We start from the raw sequence: 21,437 nt of genomic DNA, 5'->3' as shown, positions 1-21,437 counted from the left end.
CAGATGTGATTACCCAGTTGGAAACTCTCAGCATGGACTGTTGGGAGGGACAGTGTTTCCAAGAAGCCAAAAGTGCAGAAAGAACAGCACAGTCAACAGAAGATCCTGATAACCTTTGCTAAGGTTATAGTGCGTGTCATGGGCATGAGAAACTTTGGGGAACCAGGTACCTGCTAAGAAAGTTCCTCTAAAAGTCAGTTTAAATCTCGGTGATTAATTAAACATTTTTATGCCTCATCATAGTAGTTAAGTACTTTCTATGTACCAAACTCTATGGTAAGTCTTGGGAGAAAAAATATTATTATTATTGCTATCCTGATCAAAGTTATGACATGGGAGAGCTGGCATAGGAACCAAAGCCTAACTTATTCCAAAGCCAGTTCTTATGGCAACTGTGGCTTGTGACCAAAATTCTTGCTGGGGTTTGCAAATGAAGCAAGTTAATACCTGTTCATAAGTAGGAACTAGTGACTCATTGGATCTGAGTGGAGAGCTTGACATAGAATCATCCTACAACTCCCAGAAGTAATTTGTCACTTAATGCCACTGATGCCCCAAAGTGTGATAGTCAAATCTATGGGGACACACTAGAAACAAATGTAAGATTTTGTCCCCATTTCAAAGTCTGTATGAATTTCCAGTCTTGGTTGATTAGATTCTTTCATTCAACATTAATTATGGCAGGATATCTAGGGACAGGGCAAAGTAGTAGTCAGGAGAAGAGCTAAAACTGAGGAGAAACACATTTTAAAATGTCAGGGAAATGGATACACATAGGTATCAAGAGAATGGACATAAATATTGCAAGCTGGGAGTTGCAAAGGCCCCAGCAAACAGCTTCTGGATGATCAATAGAAATGCAAGGGGAAAAGCAAAATGTGTGCTCAAACAGGGAAGCTATGAGAAATTGTCAGGAGAGCCAAAGAAATAGAGAAAGTGGAGAGGAGACAAGGCAAGACCTATAGCCGGGTCTGACCCCTGGCCTGAGGCAACTTGCTCTCGTGCTGCCAGTTCTTGAGTTCCTTGTCCCCTTGCTGAGAACGAATGAGCCATGGCAGGGTATCATATATGCTAAGAACAGAGGGCAGTAACCAGGAGTGAAACAGTGGGTGAGGGCAGGAGATGATACAGCTGAGTTCATCGAAATGGTTAGTGGGGGTACAAAAGTGCTGTTGCAGTATTTTCTGCAAGTCCACCTCAAGAGGCCAAAATATTTTCAACAAAAATGCCATTGGTTTTTACAAATTATGACTGAAAAATTATTCTTAAAACATTTGAGGACAAAGAGACCCATTTGCAAGCCCAAAACATTAAAGCTTTCCAGGACTTTCCTTCTACAGCTTTGCAACTGCCTTAGGACTTGCTTTCTGAATCATTTCCTGACCATCACTAGTTTCATGCTCCTCTAACAGACCAAAAATGTGGCATATTTGGGCATCATATGAAGTATATATTGGATTAGGCACCTATAGGTACATTACCCATTTCCTAAATTGTACCTTTATGTTTGATTACAATTACTTTGTGGCTTATCTATTAATCTATCTTGCATCACAGCTAGGATTACTAAATACAGGGTAAAGGGATTCTAACATCCTTTATAAAATATGGCAATGCTTAACTGAGTATATTTTCAGTTCCAGGCACAAGTCTGTTTAATTATACTATTCCTTTTGTAAGTTAGGTTGAACATAATGTTATTTTACTCAAATAATGTACTTAACTACTTTGAAAATCTATACCTCAATGAGTTTCTAGAAGAGCTCTCTAAAACTAACCAGTTCACTAATAATGTGGTCCCAAAATAACTTCCTTATTTTAATAAGAGGAAGTATTTTTGTCACCTCTAGTAACTTGGGTGGTGCTTTTGGGAATCACGAAGTAAGAATTTATTTCCCTATGTGCAGACCTCTATCTGTAGGTTCCTACCATTGTCCTTGGGGCTTCTGGCTGGCTTATTACAGATTCAACATATTGTCTTTTGTCCTTTTGGTTCCTGTCACTGTCTTCTCTTTTCCATTCGTTTTCATGGTATCTACTTGGTTTTGGAATATCTTTATGGTTGCTTTTTCCCCTTTGTACAAAATGTTGTCTCGTTCTTTGAGCATTTCAAAAGCCCTCCCCAGTGACTTGAATTTGAAGAAAGCTGCAGGGTTGTAGCTCAGTGGAAAGCTTAGAATGACAGTGAAATGCCTAAACAGGGACTACTCTTTCTGAATAGGGAAACCTAAAAATAAAAGCTGTCTGCAGCTGGGACTGTGTGCCAAGACAACTATCACTGAGATGCAGAGGAAATAAAAAACATAAATAAAAAACAACCTTGCTAGAAAGGATGCAAGTGTTAAATTGGTGCCAAGGTAGAAACCTGGAAAAGGCCAACTTCATCATAGTTGGTTTATCATCCACAGGTAGTTTGATGTGGTGGAAGTTTGCTTTGTCCCAGAAATGTCATCCCCACGAATGCAAGGATACTCAGCAAGAAACTCTAGGCCAGCTTAACTTCCTAAAAACAACTGAAGGTCCCTAGGCATCTCTCTTTGATTTTCTTCTTTGTACACAAGGATGCTTGATTTTTTATTGGCAGTTTTTTTCACGAGCAAGCCTTTTGAGTAGTCAATTTCAATTCTGAATTTCTTCCCCTCCTCCTCTCAGTCTTTCATGGACCACAACTTCATAGAATCCCCTCTTTTTGCTCCTTTAATCCCACTCTACCTGCTATTTCAGCAAATTTTGACCTCCAGTTGAATTCTGCCTGACATACTTGCATAGTTTCTCTTCTTTTTCTTTTTAGTTTACGCCATACCCTGGGTTATTACTTGTTTGCAAGACTGGGCAAATCCCAAATCTAAATTTAGTAGCTACACCCAGGCTGCCAAAAACATTAGAATAAAAGCTTTAAAAAGCACTATACAAATGTGTGGCTAATGCTGTTAAAAATTCATGTTCACCTCCTCAGCAGGACCATCCATGCTGCTGGGCAATTCTTCTGTGTGTTCCTCTTTTAGCTCCCTCAACTATGAGGCATGGATGTTATTTCAACTTTTTGCAAAGCTTTGCAATCCTCTTTATCCATCTATGCCCTATTTTTTTTTTCTTAGAATATGCCTTTGTATAAAGAAAAGTGAGGCTCTCTGCAGCACACTAGACTACAAATTATTTCTATCTACTTGGTACATCACCTCCTTTCTACCAACCTTAGTAAAAAAGCACTCTTTTCTAGTGCATTTTATTTGGTCACCCAGTTTCTGGCTTTCCTTCAGATCACAGTACCATGCTTATTTCTCTTAATTTAGCAGGAAAAACAGTCTCTCAAACATAGATTCCTTTTTAACTACCTTCTCTGCTTTCTCCTTTATTTGCTGTTAAAAAAATTAGGCTTTACTTGCCGTCTTCATTTCCCCACTCACTTCTTTAAATTCATATTAAATATAATTTTTAAATAATCAGTAAAGAAATGCATGCACCTATTTTAAAATATCTACATTGGAAAATAGTAATTTCCAGACATATCTCTGCACACTCTCCCATTCTGCTACTTTTTGGCCCCTCTTTTTAACTTCTTAGGCCAACAGAACACTGTCATTTTATTGTTTCTCTCCACCACTGTGTGCATTTTTTATTGCCTCATTTGCATAAGGTTGATTCTCCAGTTTTTGATAGAGGGAATGGGGACTCTGAGTTCTCATATATCTGAAAATGTTGCTGTTTTACCCTCACACTTGATTGAAAGGTGATCTGCGTATGATTCAGTGATGAACAGCAGTTGCCCCGAGAATTTTGAAGGCATTACTCCACTATCTCTAGCATCTAATGTTACTACTGATAATTTAAATGATATTTCAATGGTATTCATTTATATGGTCAATTTTGAAGTTGATTTTTGTATAAAAATTTTCCAACGTACACAAAAGTTGCACAAACAGCAGAAAGAATTTTTCCTGAACTATCTGAGAATAAATTATCAACCTAAAGCCTCAACACCCTGACTACTTTAGTGTGTATTTCCTATGAACAAAGACATTTAACATTCTTTCACGATAATGAAATGCAGCCATCAAAATCAGAAGATTAACACTGATGCAATACTATCACTTAAGTCTTTTAACTCTTTAGGCCACCTCTTTGAATCCTATTCAAGTTTGACCCGTTGTTCCAACAAGACTTATATTTAAAAGCTCCAGTTCAGAATCACCCCTTGAAGGTCTCTTTAGTTTTCTTCATCTGGAACAACTCTTCGGTTTTTCCTTGACTTTTATAACCTTGACACTATTGCAGAGGACAGGTCAGTCATTTTGTGGGGTTTCCCTCACCTTGGGTTGTCTGATGTTTCCCCATGATTAGATTCAAGATACATACTTTTGGCAGGAATACCACAGAAGTGGTGCTGCAGCCTCCTTGGTATATCATAATAGTTTTTAAATGCATGGTACATATATTCCCATTCTTTTATTTTTAAGTATTTCTGGGTCATTATATTAAAAATGTGTCTCATGCAGACAACACATAGTTAGTGTTGAACTATGAAGAGAAATCTGTGATCATCCTTACATACCTGTTTTTCCTCTAGCTGGTAGGGCTTAACTCATTTGTTAAGAAAATAATAGTCCTTTGTTATCTATAGGCCAATCTTTAAAAATAACTGTTTTACATATTTGGTCCAGTTTTCTAATTATTTACAGAAAGGGGGCAATTCTATATTAGTTACCACCTCATGAAAGCAAATGAATTTGCCATTCCATTTCTCAAATTCTTATATGTTGTACTTTCATTATCATTCACTTCAAAATGTTGTTTAATATTTCTTGTGATTTCACCTTTGGCCCATATATTAATATTATTTAGAGTTGGTTATTTAATTTTCAAATATTCCAGACTTTCCTAGACATCGTATTTTTTTCTAATTTACATCCATTGTGGTTAGAGATTATAGTCAGCAATACTGCAAGGTTTTAAAATTTATTTAGACATGTTTAGCACATCAGCTACATTGGTGAATGTTCTATGTTCACTTAAAAAGAATGTATATTCTGCAGTTATTGGATGTATTCTGTTGATGTTAGTTAACTGAAAGTATCTGATATTTTTGTTCTGATATTCCATACAGTTACTGATTCCTTTGCCTAGTTGTTCTACATTAATGAGAGAAAAGTGATATAATTATTGGAATTGCCTATTTCTTTTTTCGGTTCTGTCAAATTTTGTGTTTTTTTTTTCATTGAATTTGAAGCTCTGTTATTAGTACATACACATATATATTTTAATTTTTTAAAAAAGTTGTGGGTACATAGTAGGTGTACATATTTATGGAGCACAGAAGATGTTTTGATACAGGCATGAAACGTGAAATTAGCACATCATGGAGAATAGGTTATCCATTCCCTGAAGCATTTATCCTTTGAGTTACAAATGATGCAGTTACACTGTTTTTATTTTAAAATGCACAATTAAGTTAGTACTGACTATAGTCACACTGTTGTGCTATCAAATAGCAGGTCTTATTCATTCTAACTACAATTTTTATACCCATTATTCATCCCCACCTCCTTTCCCAGGCTTGCACCACTCATCCCAGCCTCTGGTAACCATTCTTCTACTCTCTATGTTAATAAGTTCAGTTGTTTTGATTTTATATCCCACAAATTAGTGAAAACGTGATGTTTGTCTTTCTATGCCTGGTTCATTTCACTTAACATAATGATCTCCAGTTGTATCCATGTTGTTACAAATGACTGAATCTCATTCTTTTTATGGCTGAATAATACTCTAATGTCTATATGTACCACATTTTCTTTATCCATTCATTTGTTGGTGGACACTTAGGTTGCTTCCAAATCTTACTTATTGTAAACAGTTCTGCAATAAACACAGGAGTGTAAATATCTTTGGTATACTGATATCCTTTCTTTTGGCTATGTACTCAGCAGTGGGATTACCAGATGATATGGCAGCTCAGATTTTTTTTTTTTTTTTTTTTGAGGAACCTCCAAACTGACCTCTATAGTGGTTGTATTAATTTACATTCCCACCAACAGTGTACAAGGGTTCCCTTTTCTCCACATCCTCGTCAGCATTCGTTATTGCCTGTCTTTTGGATAAAAGCCATTTTAACTGGGGTGAGATGATGTCTCACTGCAGTTTTGATTTGCATTTCTCTGATGATCAATGATGTTGAGCATTTTTTATACGCCTGTTTGCCATTGGTATGTCTTCATTTGAGAAATGTCTATACAAATCTTTTGACCATTTTTTAAATTGAATTATTAGATTTTTTTCCTGTAGAGTTGTTTGAGCTCCTTATATATTCTGGTTGTTAATCCTTTGTCAGATGGGAAGTGTGCAAATAGTTTCTCTCATTCCATGGGTTGTTTCTTCACTTTCTTGATTGTATGCTTAGCTGTGTGGAAGTTTTTTAACTTGATGTCATTCCATTTGTCCCGTTTTGCTTTGGTTACCTATGCTTCTGGGGTATTGGTCAAGACATTTTTGCCCAGACCAACGTCCTGGATATTTTCCCCAAAGTTTTCCTGTAGTACTTTCAGAGTTTGAGGTCTTAAATTTAAGTGTTTAATCCATATTGACTTGATTTTTGTATATGGTGAGAGATAGAGGTCTAGTTTCAATTTTCTGCCTGTGAAGATCTAGCTTTCCCAGCACCATTTATTGAAGACACGGTCCTTTCCCCAGGGTAAGTTATTGACACTTTTGTCAAAAATGAGTTCACTGTAGGTGAGTGGATTTGTTTCTGGGTTCTCTATCCTGTTCCATTGGTTTATGTGTCTGTTCTTATGCCAGCACCATGCTGTTTTGATTACTATAGCTCTATAGCATAATTTGAAGTCAGGCAATGTGATTCCTCCAGTTTTATTCTTTTTGCTTAGGATAGATTTGGCTATTCTGCATGTTCTGTGGTTCCATATAAATTTTAGGATTGTTTTTTCTATTTCTGTAAAGAATGTCATTAGTATTTTGATAGGGATTGCATTTAATCTGTAGACTGATTTGGATAGCGTGGCCATTTTAACAATATTAATTCTTCTAATCCACCAATGTGAAATATTTTTCCATTTTTTGTGTTCTCTTCGATTTCTTTTATCAGCATTTCATAGTTTTCAGAGACCTTTCACTTCCTCAATTAACTCCTAGTTATTTAATTATATGTGTGGCTATTGCAAATGGGGTTACATTTTTATTTCTTTTTCACATTGTTCACTGTTATATATGGAAATGCTACTTATTTTTGTTTGTTGATTTTGTATCCTGCAATATCACTGAATTTGCTTATCAGTTTTAATAGTTTTCTTGTGGAGTCTGTAGGTTTTTCCAAATATAAGATCATATCATTTCAAACAAGAATAATTTGACTTCTTCCTTTCCCATTTGGATGCCTTTTATATCTTTCTCTTGTCTGATTGCTCTAGCTAGGACTTCCAATACTATGTTGAGTAACAGTGGTGACATTGGGCATCCTTGTCATGTTCCAGATCTTAGAAGAAAGGTTTTCAGTTTTTCCCCATTCAGTGTGATACTAGCTGTGGGTCTGATGTACATAGCTTTTATTATGTTGACATATGTTCCTTCCATTCCCAGTTTTTTTTTTTAGAGTTTTTATCATGCAGTGATGTTTAATTTTATTAAATGCTTTTTCAGCATCAATTGAAATGATCATATGGTTTTTATCCTTCATTTGTTGATATGATGTATCATATTGATTGGTTTGCATATGTTGAACCATTCTTGCATCTCAGGGATAAATCTCACTTGGACATAATGAATGATCTTTCTTATGTATTGTTGAATTCTGTTTGCTAGTATTTTGTTGAGGATTTTTGTATCAATATTCATCAGATATATTGACCTGTAGTTTCCTTTTTTTTAATGTGCTTTTGTCTGATTTTGGTGTCAGGGTAACCACTGACCTTGTAGAATGAATTTGGAAGTGGTCCCTCCTCCTATATTTTTCAGAATATTAATAAGAGTATGAGTAGAATTGGTATTAGTTCTTTAAATGTTTGATAGAATTCAGTAATGAAGCCATCAGGTCTGAGGCTTCTCTTTACTGGGAAAATTTTTATTACAGCTTTAATTTCATTACTTGTTATTGGTCTGTTCAGGTTTTGGATTTCTTCATGGTTCAATCTTGCTAGGTTGAATGTGTCTAGGAATTTGTCCATTTCTTCTAAATCTTCAAATTTATGGGCATATAGTTGCTCATTGTAGCCACTAATGATCCTTTGAATTTCTGGAGTATCAGTTGTAATGTCTACTTTTTCAATTCTGATTTTATTTATTTAGATCTTCTCTCCTTTTTTTCTTAGTCTGACTAAAGGCTTGCCAATTTTGTTTAACTTTTTAAAAAACCAACTTCTTGTTTCATTGATCCTTTGAATTTTTTTTTCATTTCAATTTCATTTATTTCTGCTCTGATCTTTATTATTTCTCTTTTTCCACTAATTTTGGGTTTGGTTTGCTCTTGCTTCTCTAGTTCTTTAGGATGCATTATTAGATTGTTTTTTGAAGCTTTTCCTCTTTTTTGATGTAGGCACTTATAGCAATAAACTTGCCTCTTAGTACTGCTTTTGCTGTGTCTCATAGGTTATGGTATGTTGTGTTTCTATTATAATTTATTTCAAGACATTTTTAAATTTCCTTCTTAATTTCTTTATTGACCCACTGGTCATTCAGGAGCATATTGCTTAATTTCCTTGTATTAGTATAGTTTCCCAAATTCTTCTTTTTATTAATTTCTAGTTTTGTTCCATTATGGTCAGAGAAGATGCTTGATATTATTTCAATTTTTTAATATTTTAAGACTTCTTTTGTGATGTAACACATGGTCTATCCTTGAGAATAATCCATGTGCTGAGGAAAAGAATGTGTATTCTGCAGCCATTGCATTACATGTTCTATAAATATCCACTAGATACATTTAGTCTATAGTGCAGATTAAGTCTGATGTTTCTTTGTTGAATTTCTGTCTAGAAGATAAGTCCAATGCTGAAAGTGGGGTGTTGAAGTCTCCAGCTATTATTGTATATGGGTTCTATATCTCTCTTTAGCTCTAATATTTACCTTATATATCTGGGTGCTCCAGTGTTGGTTGCATATATATATTTTAAATTATTATATTTTCTTGCTGAATTGACCCCTTCATCATTATATAGTGATCTTCTTTGTCTCTTCTCAAAGTTTTGGTCTTGAAATCTATTTTGTCTGATATATGTATAATGACTCCTACTTTTTTATGGCTTCCATCAACATGGAATATCTTTTTCCATCCCTTTATTTTGAGTCTATGTTTTTATACGTGATGTGTGTTTCTTGGAGGCAAAAGACCAATGGGTCTTGTTTCTTCCATTCAGCCAGTCTATGTCTTTTGATTGGAGCATTAAGTCCATTTACATTCAATGTTATTACTGATAAGTAAGGACCTACTCCTACCATTTTGTTAATTGTTTTCTGGTTGTTTTGTGATCTTGTCTTCCTTCTTTCATTCCTTCCCACCTTCCTTTAGTGAAGGTGATTTTCTTTGGTGTTATGACTTGGTTTCTTGCTTTTTATTTTTTGCATCTCCATTGTATGTTTTTTGGCTTGAGGTAACCATGAGGCTTGCAAATGCTATCTTATAACCCATTATTTTAAGCTGATAACAATTTACCACTGTTTGCATAAACAAAGAAACAAGCAAGAAGAAAACAAATAAAAAATCTATGCCTTAACTTCATTGCCCACCCTGCTTTTAAACTTTTTGTTGTTTCTATTTATATATTATTGTACTGACTATGTCTTGGGAAGTTGCCGTAGTTATTATTTTTGATTGGTTCTTCATTGAGTCTTTTTACTTAGGATAAGAGTAGCTTACACACCACAGTTACAGCGTTAAAATATTCTGATTTTCTGTATACTTATTAATACCAGTGAGTGTTATACCTTCAGATGATTACTTATTGATCACTGATGTCTTCTTTTGATTGAAGTACTCCTTTTAGCACTTCTTGTAGGACAAGTCTGGTATTGATGAAGTCCCTCGGGTTTTGTTTGTCTGAGAAAGTATTTATTTCTCCTTCGTGTTTGAAGAACATTTTCGCCAGATATAGTATTCTAGGGTACAAGTTTTTTTTCCTTCAGCACTTTAAATATGGCACACCACTCTCTCCTGGAAAATTTCCACTGAAAAGTCTGCTGCCAGACTTATTGGAGCTCCATCATATGTTATTTGTTTCTTTTTTTCTTGCTGCTTTTAGGGTTCTTTCTTTATCCTTGACCTTTGAGAGTTTCATTATTAAATGCCTTGAGGTAGTCTTTGGATTAAATCTGCTTGGTGTTCTATAACCTTTGTGTACTTGGATATTTATATATTTTTCTAGGTTTGGGAACTCTCTGTAATTATTCCTTTGAATAAAATTTCTACCCCTATCTCTTTGTCTACCTCCTCTTTAAGGCCAATAACTCTTAGATTTATCCTTTTGAAGCTATTTTCTAAATCCTGTAAGCATGCTTCATTGTTTTTTATTCTTTTTTTCTTTTATCTCCTCTGACTGTTGATTTTTGAATACCCTGTCTTCAAGCTCACTAATTCTTTCTTCTGCTCGATCACATCTGCTATTAAAAGACTCTGATGTATTCTTCAGTATGCCAACTGCATTTTTCAGCTTCAGAATTTCTGCTTGATTCTTTTTAATTATTTCATTCTCTTTGTTAAATTTATCTGATAGAATTCTGAATTCCTTCTCTGTCTTATTGTGAATTTCTTTTTAATTTCCTCTATACAGCTATTTTGAATGCTGTTTCTGAAAGGTCACATAGCTCTGTTTCTCCAGGATTGGTCCCTGGTGCTTTATTTAGTTCATTTGGTGAGGTCATATTTTCCTGGATAGTGTTGATGCTGTCAGATGTTCTTTGGTGTCTGGGCATTGAAGAACTCAGTATTTATTGTAGTCTTCACTGTCTGGGCATATTTGTACCTGTCCTTCTTCAGAAGGCTTTCCAGATATTTCAAAGGGCTTAGGTGTTATGATCTAAGCTGTGTCTGATTTAGGGGCACTTCAAGCCCAGTAACACTGTGGTTCTTGCAGACTCATAGAAGTACTGCCTTGATGGTCTTGGATAAGATCCAGGAGCATTCTCTGGATTACCAGGCAGAGACTCTTGTTCTCTTTCCTTAATTTCTTCCAAATGAACAAAGTCTCTCTGTTCCAAGTCACCTAAATTTGGAGTAACACAAGCACCTCTGTGTCCACCACTACTATGACTGCACTGGGTCAGATCTAAAGTTAGCGCAGCACCGGGCCTCGCCCAAGGCCTGCTGTAGTCACTCCCTGGCTACTGCCTATGTTCACTCAAGGCCCTGGGGCTACCCAATCAGCCAGTGGCAAAGCCAACCAGGCCTGTGTCCTTTTCTTCAGGGTGGCAAGGTCCCCCAGGCCCCACGTGGGTCCAGAGCTACAGTCTGGTAGTTCAGAGACTAGAGTCAAAAATCTTAGAAGTCTTCTGGTGTTCTATTGTACTGTGGCTGAGCTGGCACTCAAACCACAAGATGCAGTCCTTCCCACACTTTCCTCCCCTTTCCAAAGGTAGAGGAGCTTCACCCCATTGCCACCACCACCCCAGGCCACAAGGAGTACTGCCAGACTATCTCCAATATTCCCTTAAAACCCAAGGGCTCTAAGTCAGCTTGTGGTGAATGCTGCCTTGCCTGGGACTTATCCTTCAGGGCAGTGAGCACCTCTGTGGCCCAGGGCAGGTGCAGAAATGCCATCCAAGAGTCAAGTGCTAGAATCAGGGACCCCAAGAGACCACTTGGTGCTCTACCCCCCAGTGGCAGTGCTTGTACCTAAGGTGCAAGACTTTACTTTTCCCTCTGCTTTTCTCAAGCAGAGGGAGTTTTGACCCATAGCCATCCAAGCTAGTAAGATGATGAGTTTCACCTGAAGTCAGAAAGTCTCAGAGACTCACCCAAGGCCCAAGACATAGCACCTGTGTATCACTAATGGTCATTCCTGGCCCAAAGACTCTTCAGTTAGCAAGTAATGAATGCTACCAGGACTGGGTCCTTTCCTTTAAGGCAGTGGGTTCCCTTCTGGCCCAAGGTATGTCTAGAAATGTCTGGGACCTAGGGCCTAGAACAAGGGCTTCTTGACTCTGACCATTGCTCTATCCTGCTGTGGCTGAGCTAATACCTAAGTTGCAAGACAAAGTCCTCCCCATTCTGTCCTCTCCTCTCCTTCAAGTGGAAGAAAGGGGTCTCTTTTGGAGAGACTTGTGCAGCCTAGGCTTAAGGGAGAGGTGGTGGTGTCTGGCTCAGGGAGTGCTAGCATTACCTCTACCCTGTGCAGCCCTGCCCCAGCTGGTGTCTCAGTATGTACTGCACCAGCCCAGTCCACTATTCTAGGCCTAGTCCAGCACTAGGACTTGCCTAAAAGTTGCAGTCCTTATGGCCTAGACTGCCTTTCAAGTTTACTTGGAGACATAGAGTATTGTATCCCTCGGTGTGGAGGTTTGCAGGAACTCAAGTTTCAGCTGTTGGGATCAGCAATTCCCCTCTGGCTGGGGCTGGTTTAAATGCTCCCTTTGTGGGTGGACATCAGCTAAGTTTGATGTGATTTTCCTTTCTGCTCTAAAAGAACAGTACTGAGTTCAATGCCTCATAATTGCTGTATTCTCCTCCCTCAGCACTGAGAGATGCTTTCCACACCACACTCAGTTTCTGTGGGTAGGGAGGAAGGCATTGGGATTCAGGACTGTTTTTTTCTATTTCTTCAGTGCCTCATTCAGCAATAAAGTTAAAACCAGGTACTGAGTTGCTCACCTGATTTTTGATTCTTCTGAAGATATTTTTTTCTGTGTAGATAGGTGTTAATTTGGTGTCCTTGCAGGGTAGTGGGGACAATCGGTAGAGCCTTCTATTCTGCCATCTTGCTCCACCTTCCCACATATATAATTGTTATATTTCCTTAATGAATCAGCAGTTTATTATTATGTAATATTCTTCTTCATATCTGATAATACTCTTTACATTGAAGTCTATTTTTTTCTGGTATTAATATAGGCACTCCATATTGCCTATGTTTATTGAATGCATGGTATAATTTTTTCCATTATTTTGCTTCAATCAATCTGTATTTTCTTAACAAAAAGTTTTTCTCTTATGGACAGGATATAATGGGGCCATACATTTTTATCCAGGCTAAAAATCTATATATTTTAATAGGACTTAAGCCCAACTTAATTGACAATTATATTTGTTATAAATAGATTACTTCTCCCCATTAAAAGATGGAAATTCTTAGCCCAGATTTTGAAAATCAAGACCCAACTATAACTTGCTATGTCTTTTCTGTTTGTCTCACCTGTATTTTTGTTCCTGTCTTCCTTATTTTCTGTCTTCTTTAAGGTTAACTGATGTTGTTATAAAATATTCCTTTGAATTCCTCTATTGGCTTTTTAAATATACATTTTTACATTATTTTTAGTGTATGCTGTAGGGTTTACAACATTCATTATTAAGTACCACAATCTACTTACAATTAATTTTATAATACTTCTAATAAAGTGCAAGAATTTTGAAAAATATGACTTCTGTTTATTTACCCTTGTCCTTTTTGCTACTGTTGTCATATATATCATTTCTACAAATATTTCCTCAATCATATAGTTTTGGTTACTGTCATATAGCTTTAAAAAAACATAATTAAGGGCCGGGCATTGTGGCTCACACCTGTAATCCCAGCACATTGGGAGGCTGAGGCGGGTGTATCACCTGAGGTCAGAAGTTCAAGACCAGCCTGGGCAACATGGTGAAGCCCCGTCTCTACTAAAAATACAAAAACTTAGCTGGGCATGGTGGCGGATGCCTGTAATCCCAGCTACTTGGAAGGCTGAGGCAGGAGAATCACTTGAACCCGGGAGGTGGAGGTTGCAGTGAGCTGAGATCGCACTACTGCACTCTAGCCTGGGCAATGAGAGCGAAATTCCATCTCAAAAAAATAGTTAATTAATTAATTAAATATAATTTTTTATATACCCACATATTTACCAAGCATTGGTGACAAGGATTGGAAATATGGGGACCAAAGCACAGATCTTAAGCTCTATAATCCACCCTTTTTCTTTTCTTTTTTTCATTTCTAAGTCTAGTCAAGTGAAGCAATGGGAGTAGAGAAAGAACTAAGAAATCTGTAACTGGTTGTGATCAATTAGGTGTAAACATCACTGTACTTGGGCGAGCCTCATCTACCCTTCTTGTCATCCCATGAAGAAATACAACTTCTCTCTCTCTGTTCCATGCTTCCATTTTTATTCCATCTTAGTAAAGACTTTGTCAATGAGAAGCAAAAGCTAGATTCTGAAATGTTTTATTTCTATTTCTTTAAATATCCAGTGCATTCTGTCTAAATGAAAAAATATATATCATATTATTGTTCTGGCTTAACTCTGCTGATTTTTCCCTTGACCATATTTTGTGGTTTGAAATCCAAACTCTCTGTCTTGTTATTATCCATTAACTGGTCCCTGCCCCACTGATATGCCTTTCTGCTTTAGCCAGACTGCACTACTTGTCATTTTCCCTGAATTCATCCTTCAGTTTCCAGCCCTCTGGTTCTCCCTCTATAGGGAGAGCACCTTAATCTGTTAGACTATCTGGCAAAAAGCACCTGTGAACACAGTTCAAGCATCGTCTTCACCTATAAACCTTCTGGTTCACCACCTGCCTCCCAGATGGGAAAATTCCTACCTTCCATTGGGCCTCCGGCATGTCCTGCATATTCTCTTGTCTTTGTTCTCTTAACATTTAAATGCACTTATTTGTTTACCTGACCTTTAGGAACATTTTTAGATCATAGAACACACCTCTTTCCTCTTTTCATTCCATGTTTCTAGCACAGTGCTGGCACTGGAAGATACTGAATGAATAAATGACTAATTGACTGGACATGTGAAGGAAGGAAGGAAGGAATATAAAAGCTTCTATATATTAAATTGTAGTGGACAATTTTAAGGTGATAAATATTTTAATAAGGAAGCAACATCTTAAACTGGATAAGTTAAATTAAGAAAAAAATGTAGGGATTATCATGAAAATTGGGTAAGAATTGACAGAAGATCCTGAGATTTCTAAATGTAAACTGAACCCTGTGTACATATTTTTCCTATTTTTCTTAGGAAATATAGATTAGCATGTAATCTATAGATGATCAGCACAGAATTTCCACAGACAGTTGACCAAGCAGAAGAGGCCAGAATGAGAGAGTTCAAGGGAAGGAATATCTTCTCTAGACAGATAAAATGCAAATGTGCTTAATCATTTCAGAAACTGGTAGAGAAAGAAGATTTAAATTCCTAAAAAATTTAAGTCCAAGACAGAGGGGAAAAAAAATGGTCTTTTAGAAATCAGTGTTTTAATGATGAATAATTTTGACCAATTAAAGTGTAGACTAATTGCTATGGTGATTTTGGGAAAGAAAGAAGCTAATGAGTTTCTGAATGTCAACTGCAATTTTTGAGTACTTTTAATTTGCAATCTTTTTATCTAATGGACAAAGCACTGAAGACTCCCTCTAAATGTATTCAAGCTGCATTTTGGTTTTTACAGCTGTATTTTAGTATAGGAATTATATTTTACTATAATATCCAGTCAGTTTTTTGGAAGTAAAGTCTTAGAAGGTCTCCTTTAGGAGTGTCAAATCATATGATCTCTTAGATTCCAAAAATAACTGTGCTCAACATTGCACAGGATAAGTATCTGGCCTGATATGCTAATCCTATGATCTAGAGGAAAATAGTTGACCGATTGCTTGACCTAGCAAATCATTCAGATAACTCTGCTAGGAACATTGGCCCTGCCATTTTTTTTAACATAAATTTTTGATTCAAATCAATTTTCACTGAAGGAAACTTTGAGGAGAATGCCTAAAGATTCTGAATTCACTATAGTTTAAATGTCTGTCTCAGGTAGATAGAAGGCAATCCTTTTATTTCTTCTTTTTTGCAGAGGCAAGTAGGCAAAATAATAACTGATATTTTGTCTCTTCCTTCTTGCTTTTCTAGATGTTAATTACTATAAATGTAAAAATATAGCACAACTACCTATACATTTAAATCTACTTCTGTCTAGACATTTACCTGAAGATCAATAGTTAGAAATCCATACAAATGATGTGCATACATAAATAATTGGTGTTTATCCTCACACTTTAGGATTTTGCAGTTCATTTGTTAGTATTGATGTCTACAGAGAAAGGAGTGAAATGACACTACAAAGTCTAATGCACCAATCACATGAGCCCAATCATATATGGGAGAGAAGTAACAAGGTGATTCTCCTCGTTCTCCTGCCTGCATTTTCCCTTCTTGATTTTTTTAGTACCAAGGTAATATTTGATATCGGGGGGAAATGCACCAAAATATAAACATGAAAAGGAAAAAAAAAAGGGCATCAAACCAAGGGTGACTTTCTGTGTCTGCATTTCAGATTCACCCTGCCAATTATTTCAGGCCCAGGAAACTCAGAGACACAAAGTTTGCCCAGGAAACTCAGAGACACAAACTCAGAGACACAAAATAATGTAGAAATACTTCTATATTATTTTCCCTTTAGTTGTCAGGATGTCAGACAACATGAAAATAAACACAATATACATATATATATATATATATATATATGCAATATTTTATTTAGTTAATGGTTTATTTGTTCAACATTTGCTAAATCAAACTGCTGTAGAAAAATACCTGCCTTGTGATTTTGCTTTCTTTCTCTACCCTGCAACTGAAAACCTAACGAGAAATACTACTAGTTCTGAGGCTTTTAGTTGACATACTTTGGTGGACTGGTTTAAGAGCTTTGACATTTTCCTGTCTAGCCCAGGGGCACTGATCTATGAAACAAACTTTGCTTAAGAAATACACACACACGATACAATTAGTTTAGCTGAGTGCTAGAAGGCATTAATTTAACAAATGATATGTAGATAATGGTCCATATTATCTACAGATCTATTAAGATCAATTATATCTAATTGTCTATCTTTTACTATAAAGATTCATGTACTCTTTCCTCCATCAGTATTTGAGGGGAATATACAAGTTTTAAGGAAGAAATAGTACCCCTCTCCAGTGGTAGCTGGTCATCAGAGCAATAGTACACTGAAATAATACCTCTGGGATTTCTCAACATAGCAGCTCAGTATATAGAAAAATATTCAAAACATTTTTCTTTAAATATTTAAATAATTTTTAAATATTATACCAAGAGTATCTGAATGATAATTTTATATTTGAGAAAAAGAAGAACTTTAAAGATTTTACAGACAAGCCTCTTCCTTTGATGTAAGAGAAACAAGGCTCTGACAGATGAAATGACCTGTCCAAGGTAAAACCTTGAGCTCCTGAAGGAGCCAGAAATAGAAAACAAAGACTTCTGGTATGAGATGGATTCATCAGGCTAACTCCTGTTGAGATGTCAGAATGTTTTCATTGTCTTTTAAAAATCTTACTTTATTCCCAGCAGTTTATGTTTATAAAGGCAGTCTTTAATGGATTATTTCCTCACCAACTCTCTGAAATACAAACTTTTATTTGCAAACTGCAGGATTTTCTTTTAAATAAAAAAGGTGCTTTCTGTTGAAGACTTAAGGGTTTTGTACATTATGAAAGAGCAACTTCGCCCTTAGGCGTCCTGCGTCTACCGATTCCTCATTTCTGGTAGCCGCATTCTTGGCAGGCGTCAGAAAAATGGCTACAAAATTCCTAGCACATGAGAAGATCTGGCTCGACAAATTCAAATATGAAGATACAGAAAGGAAATTCTACAAGCAGATGAATGGGCCTGTGGCCAGCGCCTCCCGCCAGAGCTCGGCCCCAGGGAAGACCACAGCGAGCTCGTCCTCCAGATCGCCAGCCTGGAAGTGGAGAACCAGAGCCTGCGCGGCGTGGTGCAGGAGCTGCAGCAGGCGGTCTCCAACCTGGAGGCCTGGCTGAACATGCCGGAGAAGAGAGAAGAGCTCGCCTGGCCATGGTCCACAGTCCCGCAGACACAGCACGTGTCTCCCATGCGCCAAGTGGAGCGCCCCTCCCCTCGCCCCCCTTACTACGACCCCGGCCAAGAAGCAGAGGATAACGAGGACGATGACATTGATCTGTTGGCAGCGACAATAAGGAGGAAGACAAGGAGGCAAGGCGGCTGCGGGAGGAGCGGCTGCGGCTGTACGCCAAGAAGGCCAAGAATCCCTCGCTGGTGGCCAAGTCCTCCATCCTGCTGGACATCAAGCCTTGGGACAATAAGACGGACATGACCCAGCTGGAGGCATGTGTGCGCTCTATCCAGCTGGATGGGCTAGTGAGCGGGGCCTCCAAGCTGGCGTCCGTGGGCTATGGTATCCGGAAGATGCAGATTCAGTGTGTGGTGGAGGACGACAAAGTGGGGACAGACTTGCTGGAGGAGGAGATCACCAAGTTTGAGGAGCATGTGCAGAGTGTCGACATCGCAGCTTTGAACAAGATCTGAACCCTGAATGTGTGTGTGAGGCGCTGCCACGATTAAAAACAGACCGGCAAAAACACACACACAAAAAAACAAACAAACAACAACAACAAAAAAAAAAAAAGAAAGAAAAGAAAGAATGACTTCGAATTTGGAAATTTATTTTAGAAATTTAGAAATACTTGTTGGCTTATATGTCACTTGAAACTTAATTTGCCATTCAAGATGTTCATTCATTTAGGAGCACTTCATTCATTTCAGAAGTTCAGCCAGGTGCAATGTGTAATCCCAGCACTTCGGGAGGCTGAGGTGGGTGGATCACCTGAGCCCAGGAGTTAGAGGTCAGCTTGGGCAACATGGACCCTCTCTCTACTAAAAAAAGCCAGGCGTGGTGGCTGCGCCTGTAATCCCAATTACTTGGGAGGTTGAGGTAAGAGGATGGCTTGAGCTGGGAGGTGGAGGTTGCAGTGAGTGAGCTGAGATCGTTCCACTGCACTCCGGCTTAGGTGACAGAGTGAGACCCTGTCTCAAAAAAAAAAAGAAAAGAAAACCAAAAAACCAAAGTTTACATTCACGAATGAAACTGGTGTCTGCTTTTTTCCCCCTCTCCTTTTTATCGTATTTGGTAACAAGTAGAAGATTAAAAAGTTAGTTGGGGGGACAGATCTTTTAAAATAAGAAAGCAAATGACTATTCATCTTCTTCAGGTATTTTTATAAAAAATTTAGAGAAGGAGTCCCAAATATGTACTTCTGTCAACTGACTGGGGCTCATTGGCTTGATCTGTGTAGTAGTGCTCTTTTTTTAAAAAAACAGTGACCATCTTAACAAATATTATGTTTAATTTTGGAAGAGTGTTTTGTTGATTATGTAGGACATTTTGTCCTACACTACACATTTTATCAGACACTAAGCAAATATTAATGCAAGTTAATTGAGAATATTGTCTGACACATTTTAGTGCTGCAAAATTTAAAATTTGATGTTTTAAAATGCATTTATAGATGTAAATGTCTTACGATTTACAGAGAGTCTGTAGTGAGTCTAATAAACACTACAGATTTAAAGATCAAACCATAGGGGATCAACAAGGCCATCAAAAGTTCCTCAATTAACAAATATATTAATTGATCTTCCTATATGGCCCAATTTAATTGATATTCTCTCTGTTATAGAGTAAGCAGTGAATTACATACATACACACACACACACATGCACACACACACACGCACACACACACACACAACGAACTAGCCTAGTGTTCTATCGAGATATATGCACAAGTGATTGATTTAAACTGAATAATTGTCAGCCCCTTCCCTATGTAGAGTATCTCTAGCCATTGTTCAGTGCCAGTAGCTGCTCTCCATGGGATACAGCTTTGTATGGAAACCTCTAGTCTAAAAGTTATCATGATGCTTTTTATTATGATCACAAAGCATTTAATTGCACAGAGCAATTTAGAAAACAGAGTCTAAGTTAAGACAGATAATAATGTAAGACAACACTGATGTGGGAAACAGAACATATACAAACAACAAAATAATAAGCCACGAATCATTATAAAGATAAAACTTGGTAGTTTCATTGTATTCCTGTTCAGGGTAAATGCATTTTGGGCAACTCACCTTTTATTGCTGAATGCTTCATAGGGCCATCAGGTGATATCATTTCCTCACTGAGCTTTAATTACTCCAGAGATTATACTTTCTTTGCACTGCATCTTTGGAAAAAGAGGTGTGATGGAGTGGAGAATATACTGAAAAATAAGAAAATACAAGAGTTCTTTCTGTACAACCTCACTTGAGCCAATTGTTTGAACAGAACCTATACACAGCTAATTACCAAAGAACTTCTCCCTCTTTATACAATAAGGATGTCTATAATCAACAAGCAGTTCTTGATTTCTTTAAAGAGCTAATTAAAAATATAAGAACAAAAATCTTTTGGAAAAGGACAAATAAGACAAAGAAATATATACTAACGGAAATAGTAGTAGCAATGATGATAATAACAATAAACAGCCTTTCCTTTTAAATCTTACTGTGATGTCAAACTTCTCATGTTTTTGTAAAAAATCCTTTGGCACTTATCAACAAATCTGTGTTCCAAGAAGAAAAGAATAATCTGGGCAATTTTCAGGTATTTGTATATTACTATGACAATAGGTTATCAAAGAGAGAGGAAACTAGGTAGGAATTCAACTTTTTTCTTGGAATGTTTTCTGAAAAAGACTAATATATTTTAGTACTTAAAGCCCGGAATGACAGAGTCAAACAAAATATATCAATATGAAAACTGGTAAACATTTTAAAGGCTATTATTCTGTGATAGTGAACACCTTAGATTTGTGTGTGTGTGTGTGTGTGCTACTCAAGAGGAAACAAAATAATTATGATTATAAAATGAAAAGTTTGCCCTGAAATAAGGATTGTAACAGTTATAAGTTGCTAAGTTTTGCTCAAATTAGTCTCAATTCTGCTTTAGTGCAACATAGGGATTGCTAAAATTCTCTGTGCAATGCAAAAGAACACAATAAAAATCATAGGCCTCGGGGCATAATACTCAAAACATTTGTCAGTGGAACATTTTTAAAAAGAAGCAGCTAATAAATGGTAGCATAGTTTTACATTCATTAAATGATTAAAAAATACATAAATACTGCAAGCAATATGGCACTTTATCTTGAAAACCACCTGAAGTTAGTTTGTGGAAGACTTGCAGCTTGTATTAATAACAGTGAAGTGGTGGAAATGGACAAGAAGTTGTAATAGTAGATGTGCATGGGTCTGGGCCACTGATTGTCCTTGAGAGGTGTGTGTGTGTTTTATGTGTTCCTATGAGACTCAGCTCAGCTGTGTATGGTTCCTACATTCACCTAGTTGGTCTAGCAGATGAAGTAGTGCACAAATAAATGCAAAATTTGCCTTATGCTAAATTTGTTTCCCAATATATTAAT

At 36.9% G+C, this 21,437-nt stretch overlaps 1 pseudogene, besides 2 other annotated features; it reads left to right on the top strand.

The window, feature by feature from the left end:
• Positions 17,438 to 17,999: an enhancer, noted in NCBI's record as "H3K4me1 hESC enhancer chr6:128901761-128902322 (GRCh37/hg19 assembly coordinates)". NCBI's record gives its function as "activates a minimal SCP1, AML or CMV promoter by ChIP-STARR-seq in primed H9 embryonic stem cells {active_cell/tissue: H9 hESC(primed)}" and the evidence as "EXISTENCE:reporter gene assay evidence [ECO:0000049][PMID:30033119]".
• Positions 17,663 to 18,550, top strand: EEF1DP5 (eukaryotic translation elongation factor 1 delta pseudogene 5; annotated as a pseudogene).
• Positions 18,000 to 18,562: an enhancer, noted in NCBI's record as "H3K4me1 hESC enhancer chr6:128901198-128901760 (GRCh37/hg19 assembly coordinates)". NCBI's record gives its function as "activates a minimal SCP1, AML or CMV promoter by ChIP-STARR-seq in primed H9 embryonic stem cells {active_cell/tissue: H9 hESC(primed)}" and the evidence as "EXISTENCE:reporter gene assay evidence [ECO:0000049][PMID:30033119]".

This window comes from Homo sapiens, chromosome 6 (assembly GCF_000001405.40).
Source record: "Homo sapiens chromosome 6, GRCh38.p14 Primary Assembly".
Lineage (NCBI taxonomy): Eukaryota > Metazoa > Chordata > Mammalia > Primates > Hominidae > Homo > Homo sapiens.
Note: the sequence above shows the minus strand (reverse complement) of the source record. Positions and strands in the feature narration are given on the sequence as shown.